The 13835-nt window shown below is 43.2% G+C and overlaps 1 protein-coding gene across 7 annotated transcripts in view; it reads right to left on the reverse strand.

The window, feature by feature from the left end:
• Positions 1-13835, reverse strand: part of ADAMTS12 (ADAM metallopeptidase with thrombospondin type 1 motif 12) — a 368456-nt gene that overhangs the window by 14073 nt on the left and 340548 nt on the right. For all 7 annotated transcript variants that reach the window (NM_001324512.2, NM_030955.4, XM_017009905.2 and 4 more), the window contains 2 exons: positions 11600-11776; positions 8452-8595 (listed from right to left, as the gene is read on the reverse strand). In NM_001324512.2, the coding sequence (NP_001311441.1) occupies positions 8452-8595; positions 11600-11776 (321 nt within the window). The remainder of the gene's footprint in view (positions 1-8451; positions 8596-11599; positions 11777-13835) is intronic.

Consider the following 13835-nt stretch of genomic DNA (forward strand, 5'->3'; position numbering starts at 1 on the left):
CTTCGGTAGCAACCTCCTGCAGAGATGAGGCTGTTGTGCCTAATATAATTCCTGCTTGTATCCTTCTACACAGCTAAGTGAATTCGGTGTTGAGTCCAGCCTATTGTGCCTCACATGTCTGACTGCCAATAGACTGCCAATTTGACACAGCATTAGAGTGGATCAATGGCTGTGCCGGTGCAACTATGCAGCTATGAACAATGAGAATTACAAACAGTATAGCAACCTACAAATAGCTGGGGGCATTATGTTGGGCAAAATACTGCATTCCCGTGTGTGTTATAATTATAACCATCAAAACATACATGCACAGGAACAAGTTACTTTATAAAAATGTTAGTAGTTGTGGTGTCAGTGTATCAGACCATCTTGGCTCTCCTGTCTCCCAGCTCGTGGCCCTAGGATCTGTCCCAGCTGAGGTGGCAACCAACTTTCTGAAAGCACAACCCAGTGGCCTTCACCTCATGCCATGTGTATTAGCCTAGTTTCACACTGCTATAAAGACATACCTGAGACTGGGTAATTTATTAAGAAAAGAGGTTTAATTGACTCAGAGTTCCACAGGGCTGGGGAGGCCTCAGGAAACTTACAATCATGGTGGAAGGGAAGAGGCACATCTTACATGGCAGCAGGTGAGGGAGAGTGGGGAGTGAAATGGGAAGAGCACCTTATAAAACCATCAGATCTTGTGAGAAATCACTGACTATCACAAGAACAGCATGGGGGAAACTGCCCCCCATGATCCGCTCACCTGCCACTGGGTCTCTCCCTTGACACGTGAGAATTACAATCCAAGATGAGATTTGGGTGGGGACACAGAGCCAAACCATATCACCATGTCTCATGCCTCCCTGCTTCTGATTGGGTTTTCTTGTTGCCAATGAGACATGAGATACAATGGGACTTGCTCAGTGCCCATATCTGGACAATTCAGAAGTATGGAGATATTAGCCCTCTAAGGGGAGACTCCACCAAAGGGAGATAGGAGCCAGTGGATAACTCTTCTTCTTTCCTACTCTTCCCTCCCTTCCCGGATAAACTGCCACAACACGCAGTAGTTCACACAGTTTTTAGAAGCCTTCCTGTGAGAGCCAGCAGTCAGTTGCTCCTGACACCAAGCGATGGTCAGTTAGGTAAGATAATCAGTCTAGTAACACACCACTTCATTTTTGACTCTCCTTCTTCTCTGCCTCCTTTCTCTTTTCTATCACCCCTGCTTCCCTGGCACTGAATTTCCTAATAAAGTGTTAAATTTTTTCTCGAGATTCCATTTGATAGAAAACCCAGGATAAGACAAATCAGAATGATGGCAGAATCTGTCCATGGGAGAATTTTCTTTATTTTCTTTTTCTGAGATGGAGTCTTGCTCTGTCACCCAGGCTGGAGTGCAGTGGTACAATCTCGGCTCACTGCAACCTCCACCTCTTGGGTTCAAGTGATCCTCCTGCCTCAGCCTCCGGAGTAGCTGGGATTACAGGCATGTACCACCATGCCTGACTAATTTTTTTATTTTTAGTAGAGATGAGATTTCACCCTGTTGGCCAGGCTGGTCTTGAACTCCTGACCTCAGGTGATCCACCTGCTTCGGCCTCCCAAAGTGCTAGGACTACAGGTGTGAGCCACCACACCTGGCCACAATTTTCTTTATTTTCAGTATTGCTGATAGAGTGTTATTTATGCAATAAGCAAGCTTAGGGAGAATAATACCTCTTTCCTTCATTTACAGTTTAATTATTTTGTTCCATCAAACAGGCTGGCCATCTGGCAAACTGATCTGTGGGCTGACAAGAGGCCTGAAACTCAATAAGTCTGACTATGCCTAAAGCTTTAGGACAGATGCCAACTCCTCTTTGCTCTAGGAAAAGCCAGAGAATCCAAGGTGCTGGTTGTAAAACAGATGTTTCTTAGGCTGTGTGCCTCTGGAATAACTTTGATATTTGATCTTTTCTCTTTTGAAAGTATTTAATATTTTCCCTTCTCAACTCAAGACCCACAGCAGCCGTGGGTCAACTTTTAGCAGACTTAGAGGTATTCAGTGGCAGAAGAACACGAAAACCGAAGTATCCAGAAACATACTGTAAATCAATGAATGCACTGAATATTTACAATGAGTATAGATTATTTTTGTAATCAAAAGAAAATGCATGCTATTTTATTTTTATTTTTTTGCTTAAGTATAGTGGCAAGAAACCATTTTTTTAAAAAGCTAAAGTAGATTGAGGTTCCAAGATGGCTGAATAGGAAGAGCTCTGGTCTGCAGCTCCCAGCGAGATCGACACAAGATGAGTAATTTCTGCATTTCCAACTGAGGTACCTGGTTCATCTCACTGGGACTGGTTGGACAGTGGGTGCAGCTGTCCCTGCACCATGGAGGGCGAGCGGAAGCAGGGCGGGGCGTCGCTTCACCCGGGAAGTGCAAGGGGTTGGGGGATTGCCCTTTCCTATCCAAGGGAAGCCATGACAGACTGTACCTGGAAAAATGGGATACTCCCACTCAAATACTGCACTTTTCCCAAGGTCTTAGCAACTGGCAGACAAGGAGATTCTCTCCTGTGCCTGGTTCGGCAGGTCCCACACTCACGGAGCCTTGCTCATTGCTAGCGCAGCAGTCTGAGATCAAATGGTGAGGTGACAACCTAGCTGGGGGAGGGGTGTCCACCATTGCTGAGGCTTGAGTAGGTAAACAAAGTGGCCAGGAAGCTCGAACTGGGCGGAGCCCACCACAGCTCAGCACGGCCTACTGCCTCTGTAGACTCCACCTCTGTGGGCAGGGCATAGCTGAACAAAAGGCAGCAGACAACTTCTGCAGACTTAAACATCCCTGTCTGACAGCTCTGAAGAGAGCAGTGGTTCTCCCAGCATGGTGTTTGAGCTCTGAGAATGGACAGACTGCCTCCTCAAGTGGGTCCCTGACCCTTGTGTAGCCTAACTGGAACACACCTCCCAGCAGGGGCCAACAGACACATCATATAGGCAGCTGACCCTCTGGGACGAAGCTTCCAGGGGAAGGATCAGGCAGCAATATTTGCTCTTCTGCAATATTTGCTGCTCTGCAGCCTCTGCTGGTGATACCCAGGCAAACAGGGTCTGGAGTGGACCTCCAGCAAACTCCAACAGCTCTGCAGCTGAGGGATCTGACTGTTAGAAGGAAAACTAACAAACAGAAAGGAATAGCATCAACATCAACAAAAAGGACATCTACACCAAAAACCCCATCTGTAGGTCACCAACATCAAAGACCAAAATAGGTAAAACCACAAAGATGGGGAGAAACCAGAGCAGAAAAGGTGAAAATTCTAAAAACTGGAGTTCCTCTTCTCCTTCAAAGGATCGTAGCTCCTCACCAGCACTGGAACAAAGCTGGATGGAGAATGACTTTGACGAGTTGACAGAAGTAGGCTTCGGAAGGTCAGTAATAACAATTTCTCTGAGCTAAAGGACATGTTCTAACCCATCAGAAGGAAGCTAAAAATCTTGGACAAAAGGTTAGATGAATGGCTAACTCGAATAAACAGTGTAGAGAAGACCTTAAATGACCTGATGGAGCTGAAAACCATGGCATCAGAACTTCGTGACGCATGCATAAGCTTCAATAGCAGATTCAATCAAGTGGAAGAAAAAGTGTCAGTGATTGAAGATTAAATTAATGAAATAAAGTGAGAAGACAAGTTTAGAGATAAAGAGTAAAAAGAAACAAACAAAGCCTCCAAGAAATATGGGACTATGTGAAAAGACCAAATCTACATTTGATTAATGTACCTGAAAGTGAGGAGAAGAATGGAACCAAGTTGGAAAACACTCTTCAAGATATTATCCAGGAAAACTTCCCCAACCTAGCAAGGCAGGCCAACATTCAAACTCAGGAAATACAGAGAACACCACAAAGATACTCCTCGAGAAGAGCAACCCTAAGACACATAATTGTCAGATTCACCAAGGCTGAAATGAAGGAAAAAATGTTAAGGGGAGCCAGAGAGAAAGGTCGGGTTACCCACAAAGGGAAGCCCATCACACTAACAGTGGCTGACACTCTGCAGAAACCCTACAAGAGAGAAGAGAGTGGGGGCCAATATTCAACATTCTTAAAGAAAAGAATTTTCAACCCAGAATTTCATATACAACCAAACTAAGCTTCATAAGTGAAGGAGAAATAAAATCATTTACAGACAAGCAAATGCTGAGAGATTTTGTCACCACCAGGCCTGCCTTACAAAAGAGCTCCTGAAGGAAGCACTAAACATGGAAAGCAACAACCGGTACCAGCCACTGCAAAAACATGCCAAATTGTAAAGACCATCAATGCTAGGAAGAAACTGCATCAATTAACGGGCAAAATAACCAGCTAGCATCATAATGACAGGATCAAATTCACACATAACAATACTAACCTTCAATGTAAATGGGCTAAATGCCCCAATTAAAAGACACAGACTAGCATTTTGGATAAAGAGTCAAGACCCATTGGTGTGTATATTCAGGAGACCCATCTCACATGCAGAGAAACACATAGGCTCAAAAAAAAAGGGATGGAGGAAGATCTACCAAGCAAATAGAAAGCAAAAAAAAAGCAGGGGTTGCAATCCTAGTCTCTGATAAAACAGACTTTAAACCAACAAAGATCAAAAGAGACAAAGAAAGCCATTACATAATGGTAAAGGGACCAATTCAACAAGAGCTAACTATCCTAAATATACATGCACCCAATACAGGAGCACCCAGATTCATAAAGCAAGTCCTTAGAGACCTACAAAGAGACTTAGACTTAGAGACCTACAAAGAGACTTAGACTCCCACACAATAATAATGGGAGACTTTAACACCCCACTGTCAATATTAGACAGATCAAGGAGACAGAAGGTTAACAAGGATATCCAGGACTTGAATTCAGCTCTGCACCAAGCAAACCTATTAGACATCTACAGAACTCTTCACCCCAAATCAACAGAAGATACATTCTTCTCAGCACCACATCACACTTATTCTAAAATTGAACACATAATTGGAAGTAAAGCACTCCTCAGCAAATGTAAAAGAACGGAAATCACAACAAACTGTCTCTCAGACCACAGTGCAATCAAATTAGAATTTAGGATTAAGAAACTCACTCAAAACCACACAACTATATGGAAACTGAACAACTTGCTCCTGAATGACTACTGGGTACATAACGAAATGAAGGCAGAAATAAAGGCGTTCTTTGAAACCAGTGAGAAGAAAGACACAATGTACCAGAATCTCTGGGACACATTTAAAGCAGCATGTAGAGGGAAATTTATAACACTAAATGCCCACAAGAGAAAGCAGGAAAGATCTAAAATCGACACCCTAACATCACAATTAAAAGAACTAGAGAAGCGAGAGGAAACAAATTCAAAAGCTAGCAGAAGGCAAGAAATAACTAAGATCAGAGCAGAACTGAAGGAGATAGAGATACAACAAACCCTTCAAAAACTGAATGAATCCAGGAGCTGGTTTTTTGAAAAGATCAACAAAATTGATAGACCGCTAGCAAGACTAAAAAAGAAGAAAAGAGAGAAGAATCAAATAGACGCAATAAAAAATGATACAGGGGATGTCGCCACCAACCTACAGAAATACAAACTACCATCAGAGAATACTATAAACACCTCTATGAAAATAAACTGGAAAACCCAGATAAAATGGATAAATTCTTGGACACATACACCCTACCAAGGCTAAACCAGGAAGAAGATGAATCTCTGAATAGCCCAATAACAGACTCTGAAATTGAGGCAATAATTAACAGCCTAACAACCAAAAAAAGTCCAGGACCAGAAGGATTCACACGCGAATTCTACCAGAGGTACAAAGAGGAGCTAGTACCATTTATTCTGAAACTATTCCAATCAATAGAAAAAGAGGGAATCCTCTGTAACTCATTTTATGAGGCCAGCATCATCCTGATACCAAAGCCTGGCAGAGACACAACAAAAAAAGAATTTTAGACCAATATCCATGATGAACATCAGTGCAAAAATCCTCAATAAAATACTGGCAAACTGAATCAAGGAGCACATCAAAAAGCTTATCCACCATTATCAAGTCGGCTTCATCCTTGGGATGCAAGGCTGGTTCAATCTATGCAAATCAATAAATGTAATCTATCACATAAACAGAACCAACAACAAAAACCACATGATTGTCTCAATAGATGCAGAAAAGGCCTTCAACAAAATTCAACACCCCTTCATGCTAAAAGCTCTCAATAAACTAGGTACTGATGGAACGTATCTCAAAATAATAAGAGCTATTTATGACAAACCCACAGCCAATATTATACTGAATAGGCAAAAACTGGAAGCATTCCCTTTGAAAACTGGCACAAGACAGGGATGCCCTCTCTCACCACTCCTATTGAACATAGTTTTGTAAATTCTGGGCTGGGCAATCAGGCAAGAGAAAGAACTAAAGTGTATTCAATTAGGAAAAGAGTAAGTCAAATTGTCCCTGTTTGCAGATGACATGATTTTATATTTAGAAAAACCCATCGTCTCAGCCCCAAATCTCCTTAAGCTGATAAGCAACTTCAGGAAAGCCTCAGGATACAGAATCAATGTGCAAAAATCACAAGCATTCTTATACAACAATAACAGACAAACACAGGCCAAATCATGAGTGAACTCCCATTCACAATCGCTACAAAGAGAATAAAATACCTAGGAATCCAACTTACAAGGTATGTGATGGACCTCTTCAAGGAGAACTACAAACCACTGCTCAATGAAATAAAAGAGGACACAAACAAATGGAAGAACATTCCATACTCATGGATAGGAAGAATCAATATTGTGAAAATGGCCATATTGCCCTAGGTAATTTATAGATTCAATGCCATCCCCATCAAGCTACCAATGACTTTCTTCACAGAATTGGAAAAAACTACTTTAAAGTTCATATGGAACCAAAAAAGAGCCTGCAGTGCCAAGTCAATCCTAAGCAAAAAGAACAAAGCTGGAGGCATCATACTACCTGACTTCAAATTATACTACAAGGCTACAGTAACCAAAACAGCATGGTACTAGTACCAAAACAGATATATAGACCAAAAGAACAGAACAGAGGCCTCAGAAATAACACCACACATCTACAACCATCTGATCTTTGACAAACCCGACAAAAACAAGATATGGGGAAAGGATTCCCTATTTAATAAATGGTGCTGGAAAAACTGGCTAGCCATATGTAGAAAGCTGAAACTGGATCCCTTCCTTACACCTTATATAAAAATTAATTCAAGATGGTAAAGACTTAAATGTTAGACCTAAAACCATAAAAACCCTAGAAGAAAACCTAGGCAATACCATTCAGGACATAGGCATGGGCAAAGACTTCATGACTAAAGCACCAAAAGCAATGGCAACAAAAGCCAAAATTGACAAATGGGATCTAATTAAACTAAGGAGCTTCTGCATGGCAAACAAAACACCATCAGAGTGAACAGGCAACCTACAGAATGGGAGAAAATTTTTGCAATCTACCCATCTGACAAAGGGCTAATATCCAGAATCTGCAAAGAACTTAAAGAAATTTACAAGAAAACAAACAAGCAACCCCATCAAAAAGTGGGCAAAGGATATGAATAGACAGTTCTCAAAAGAAGACATTTATGCAGCCAACAGACACATGAAAAAATGCTCATCATCACTGGTCATCAGAGAAATGCAAATCAAAACCACAATGAGATACCATCTCATGCCAGTTAGAATGGTGATCATTAAAAAGTCAAGAAACAACAGATGCTGGAGAAGATTTGGAGAAATAGGAATGCTTTTACGCTGTTGGTGGGAGTGTAAATTAGTTCAACCACTGTGGAGGACAGTGTGGTGATTCCTCAAGGATCTAGAACTAGAAATACCATTTGACCCAGCAATCCCATTACTGGGTATATTCTCAAAGAATTATAAATCATGCTACTATAAAGACACATGCACATGTATGTTTATTGTGGCACTATTCACAACAGCAAAGACTTGGAAGCAACCCAAATGTCCAGCAATTATAGACTGGATTAAGAAAATGTGGCACATATACACCATGGAATACTATGCAGCCATAAAAAAGGATGAGTTCATGTCCTTTGTAGGGACATGGATGAAGTTGGAAACCATCATTCTCAGCAAACTATCGCAAGGACAAAAAACCAAACACTGCATGTTCTCACTCATAGGTGGGAACTGAACAATGAGAACCCTTGGACACAGGGCAGGTAACATCACACACTGGGGCCTGTCGGGGGGTGGGGGGCTGGGAGAGGTATAGCATTAGGAGAAATACCTAATGTAAATGATGAGTTGATGGGTGCAGCAAACCAACGTGGCACATGTATACCTATGTAACAAACCTGCACGTTGTGCACAGGTACCCTAGAACTTAAAGTATTAAAAAAAAAAAAAAGCTAAAGTAAAAAAAGTATGTATAACCAAGTCTTACCAGGTCCCAGTTCCCAGTGGCCCAGTGACAGCACAGGTGCTCATTGCAAGACATGGTGGATGTGGGTCTTTTTGTCCAATCACAGAGGCCTCCTGGACAGAACACTCCTCTCTCCTGAACTCCACCTCCACAGGACCTGGAGCACTGATACACAGCAGTGACAAGATTAGGTAAAAGTCAGGTGGAGACATGTTTAATGATAAGTGAAGAACTTCGTACTGTCATTTTTGTTATGTACAGTGTTACTAGGAATATTGGTATCTGTATTAGAATTTATAGCATTCCTGCAAATTCCTTACAATGACCACTCACTATTTAAAAAAAAAAAGGGGGGGAAACAAGAATTAAAGAGAGGTGGAAATATTGATGAAGCAAATCCTGAAGATATAAGGAGGAGAAAAGTCAGAAGATTTAGATTTTTTATAATGATTTAGATTTTTTATAATGATTATCTCTGACAGCCCAAAAGGGGGGCACACATTTGCAATACAATTTTGTTTGCCTCCTATTAAAATGAGATTTAGTCTTCCTTTTCCACTGCATAAAGTTTTAGAATTAAATTTGTCCATAGTAGGAGTAATAAAATGGATGGATTTGCTCAGGACTCAGATGCATTGGCTGTTAACACTCACAACAAAATAAATTCAAGATGACAAGTCAGATTTCTAAAAGGGTACAATTCTGAAACATGTCAGGTTTTTGCTTACTAGAATAATTCTATAAGATACATTATCTCATTTGCATGACTTTTTAAGGAGGAAATAAAATAATTCACCAAGAATGTTTGAAAAGTTCCTAGAGTATTTGGAAAAGCATTTTGAAAAATCTTAGTTTTAGCATGGTTACAACGATAACAATAAGATAATTATGGCTGTCTTGCAAACATCATGTCCATCACATCAGGTAGTATGTGTGTGGTAGTATCATAGAAAACAGGGAAATTATATGCAATTAACCTTTTCTGCTCAATAAAAGAACTAACGTAGTGCCTTCACAATATTCCAGCTTTGAGAATCAACATCAACTTTTTTCCCACTTATTCAACCTGTTTTTAACCCCATCTGAGGAGAGAGGGAGAGGAATTCCACATCTGGAGTTCTTGTGCATACCTACCTATGTGCACACAGATTCAGCACCACCTGCCTAAGTAATTTCCAGGAAAAGGGGGTCAAAAAAGTGGTTCTCAAATGCTCCTCAGACCAGCAACTTCAGCATCTTCTGAGTGTTTGTTAGAAATGCAAAATTTCAGGCCCCACCTCAGATCCCCTGAATTGGCCATTCTCGGGGTGGGACCTATCCATCTGTGTGTTGACAAGCCCTCCAGGTTGTCCTGAAGCATGATAAAGCTTGACTACCACTGGTGTAGAGATGGTCCCACAGCTAAAATGCATCTGCCATGGAGGGTAGTTGAGGCGGGCCGATATGCTTGCCAGATGGGTTCGTAACATTCCCAGGATGGCAGTCAGCACCACGGGCAAGGAAAGTACCTAAAGATGCCCAATCCCTTAAGAGCAGCTCCGGGTACTCAACTGACTTTTACATTTTCTATCTCTACTACTGCTTAAGAGGGAACTCTACCAACTTTGTGGTTTGCTCAAAACAGGGCAATTTAGAAAGGAGAGAAACAGAAGGGCTTCAGGGAGCAGGTTCCTGATGGCGATCCGAGAAGCTACAGAGGAAACATAAAGAATAGACCTTTTTCATAACCAGAAAGATTTGATTGCTCATCTTTGATCGCCTGCAAATGTCATTTCTCTGAAAGGGCAATCTAAGCTCCTCTGTGAATTCCTGGATTCTGGAAGCTGCTGCCTAAACAGGTCCAGGCCAGGCTCAGCACATATGGAGAGTTTGGAGGTCTGGGTTCAGAGCCTGGGAGTAGCAGGCACTTCATGTACTCAAGAACTAGGCAGGGGAAGGAGGATGAAGAGGGGACAGTGGTGGCTGCTGCCCCAGAAAACTCTAGCTAGTGGCCCAGAGCCTCAGGAATCAGTGTGGATGCTTGGCCGGTGGGTGGTAAGTAACTCGGGGCTCAGTCCTCCACAGGCTTTGACACTAACTCTGTAGCCTCAGGTTGGGATTCTCTGCCTTCCCTTCACTGGCACATGGTAGGTGCCCCCAAAATAGTTATTGATTCATTCTTTCTCCTTAGTTCACTTTTCGCTCAATGCCCATTGGGCTAGTTCCACATCATAGCAGGATCAAAGATGGGCAATCAAAGATGAGCAATCAAATCTTTCTGGTTGTGAATGCCTTATGTTTGAATTAAAACTCCATTTATTTTCTCATTGTGTGTCTCAGGTAGGTTTCTCAACCTAAGTCTCAATTTCTTCCCCTATAAAATAGGGTTAAAAATGCCTACCATCCAGGTCATGGAGATAATTAAACCAAGTATCATAGGGAAAGTGCCTAGCTCCTGGACACACTCAAAATATGCAGGGTTCCTCTTTTATTTTTATTTTTTGGCCTTCTTTCTATCATTTGTGGATGTAGTTGGGAGTATGTTTTAGCTGTTGAGATATTTAAACATTTGACTGTTGAAAAATGAGATCATCACACTTCACCAAAGAACTTCATCAAATAACCTTGTTTTCATGTGCCAAAGTAAAACTAAGACCCAGCAGAGCCAGGGCCCTCATAAAGAGAGCACACACACACACACACACACACACACTCGTTATTTGTACAGTGATCTGAGAGCTGTAAGAGATGAAACTCTAATATTATACTGTGTGGAAAAGATAGGGCTGTTTCTCCCAGCCTGACTGCAGAAGCCTCAGAGAGCATGTTAGGCTCTGTCTGTAAGTGGCTCTCATCAGATTCGTCCTTGTTCAAATCATCCCATTGCGTTCATTTTCCCTGCAAGGACACCAATTCCCCAGTATATCCATTGGGAGACCAGGTTGCAACACAACACTGAACTGCTGTGATTAAAACTATAACACATTGTCTCCACCGTGGAATTTTTTCACCTCCTGAAAGTGTTAGACCCATTCAGCTTCTCACATACAGGGTGGGGTCACTGAACAGAGGCCAGTCATTGGCAGGACACAGGTGTGGTCTTCCCTGATTTCTACACTTATGCAGTAACACAGAGATTCATGGCTTGCCAGGTTGTGTGAGGACATCTCTCCCTTTGTGGGGGACCTACCTGGCTCCAAGGCTCCACCTGCCACGCCTCACAGGGCTCCGGGTTACAGCTCATGCTCAATGGGGGAGGAATGCCGGCCAGGAACTGGCAGTGAAATGGCCTCAGGTTCCGGTGGTCCCGGCTGTCCACGCACTGAATCTCGCGTATCTTGAAGCCCCCACTGCAGTTTCTGGAGCACTGTATGGAGAGAAAAATCAAAGGCGATCTCTGAGTCATTGGCATCAGGCCTCCCTTCCTTCCCCTCAGCCGTGGAGGCGCCAGGCATTCAGTCATAAAGAGGGGTTAGGTCTAGTTCCGGTGAACCCTGCTTTCCCTCCCACACCACAGAGCAGGAGGCACCCCAGCAGCTCCCGATGTCGGGAAACACATGCATAGGAGTGTTTCTGCCACTCGCTAGTCTTGAGCCCTTGGGCCTGTCACTGAAGTACGCTGAGCCTCAGGTGTCCCATCTCTAAACTGGGATCATAACTGCTACCTCCCAGCTGTGGGGAGATTATAGACCCTGGGGCTGGAGTGCCTGCTGGCACAGCATCTGCCCCAGTGGGTGGCCATTCCGTCTGGAAGTCAGTATTCACTAGAGGCAGAGTGGCCTGCCTATCCCTTCCCAGGAGTGGGCATGGCTGCTAAGCCTTGTCCGTCTTTCCTTCAGAATACTGGTTTTCTCTATGATGCTGGATGCAGAATAGGTTACTATGTCTCTCTCATGAAGGGCCTTGAGTAGGGAAATAAACTGAATTAACTACTCAGTGGTTTGACTCATGGGTGTGAGCAAACACTGTCCTTGCCTCCACCGTCACCATTCCTCCTGCAGCACCATCACGTGCAGCCATCACTGAGAGTCTTCTCAGCACTTGCCCCCGATAGCCACTACACAGGCCCTACTCACTCCCTTCCTCTCTGACCCCACCCCTTGTGCAGCAGCCCAGGTTCACCAGCAGGCTGCTGATTTCCCTTGGACCGTGATAAACACTGATGGGTCTGGGTCACCTACAACCAAGTTTGCACAGCCTGTTCCAGAGTGCTGCTTTTGTTGACTCTCTGACTTCTTGGATTTTGGCAGCTCCCCACTCCCTGACCTACAAAGATTTTATCTGATCATAACTTGTGCTTCTAGGACTTGCTCTCTGGTCTGTTTAGAACTCTAGTGCTTGCCATAGGCCTTCTGCTTATCTTCCCTCTGCAGCCTGGTGTCTCATGGCCAGACCTGGCCTGACCAGTCTTGTTACTGCCCACACTGAGGTGGGGACCTGAGGTAGGTGGGATGGAGGCTAACATCTGTGCTCGTCAGCCCAGGTTCTTCCCCAGGTTCTCCTCGGGTTAATACAATGTCCTTGGGGTTCCCATGTCCTGAATGTTCCTTCCTCTATTCTCTGCATTACCCATCACTGCTTTTTTTTAATGCCTCATTTTCAATGGCACCTCTTCTGAGAGGTTCTCATGGAATACCTGATCTAAAGGAGGTGATTTCTCTTGTAATTTGTCTCAGCTCCTCTTCTGTTTTCATCCCACAAAGCTAAACTGCAGAGCAACTTTGATTGATTTTGTCCATCCTTTCTACTATCCATCACTGCCATGAAAGCAGAGCCTGCCCTGCCCTGCCCTGTTCCGCATCACACCATGGATCCCTAGCACAGGGACAGACACAGTGTAGATGGCCATTATGAAGCTGTTGAATCAACATTGAATTATGAGAAAATGCCAGCTGGGAGGGCTCCCAGTGGGCTAAAGAGATCTCCAGTAATCATAGGATAAAGAATGTGCTTCTTTACCCTCTGAATCCTTCCATCAATGATCTCATTGGCAGTCTTGGCTGAGGAAACAAGTCACCAAGAAAGGGTATCCCTTGCTGTAAGGTATATTTTCATCTGGCTCTTCTCTCTGAAGGGTAAAAGACCATGCTGTCTTTCTGGCTATGGTGGAATAGCCATGATTCTAGGGCTGTGGTTGAGGAAAGAAAATTCCTCACGACTTTTCAGTAGACATAGACCCCAAATACTGCTCCCCTTTATTCCTCTGATTGGCAGATTTCACCAAGTCACCTGACTTCAAACATTGGTCTGTATTTTGGAAACACATGGGCCCATGTGATGAGGGGACAGATTGATGCTCTGGTACTTCCATAAATCAAGTGTGTTTAGATTATCAGAAATAAGCAATACTTGCCAACAGCTTCCCAAAAGTGCAAATTAAAAACTTTGTTTTCCTGCCACACAGTAAGCACACAAAGAAAAACAGT

Source organism: Homo sapiens, chromosome 5 (assembly GCF_000001405.40).
Source record: "Homo sapiens chromosome 5, GRCh38.p14 Primary Assembly".
Taxonomy (NCBI): domain Eukaryota; kingdom Metazoa; phylum Chordata; class Mammalia; order Primates; family Hominidae; genus Homo; species Homo sapiens.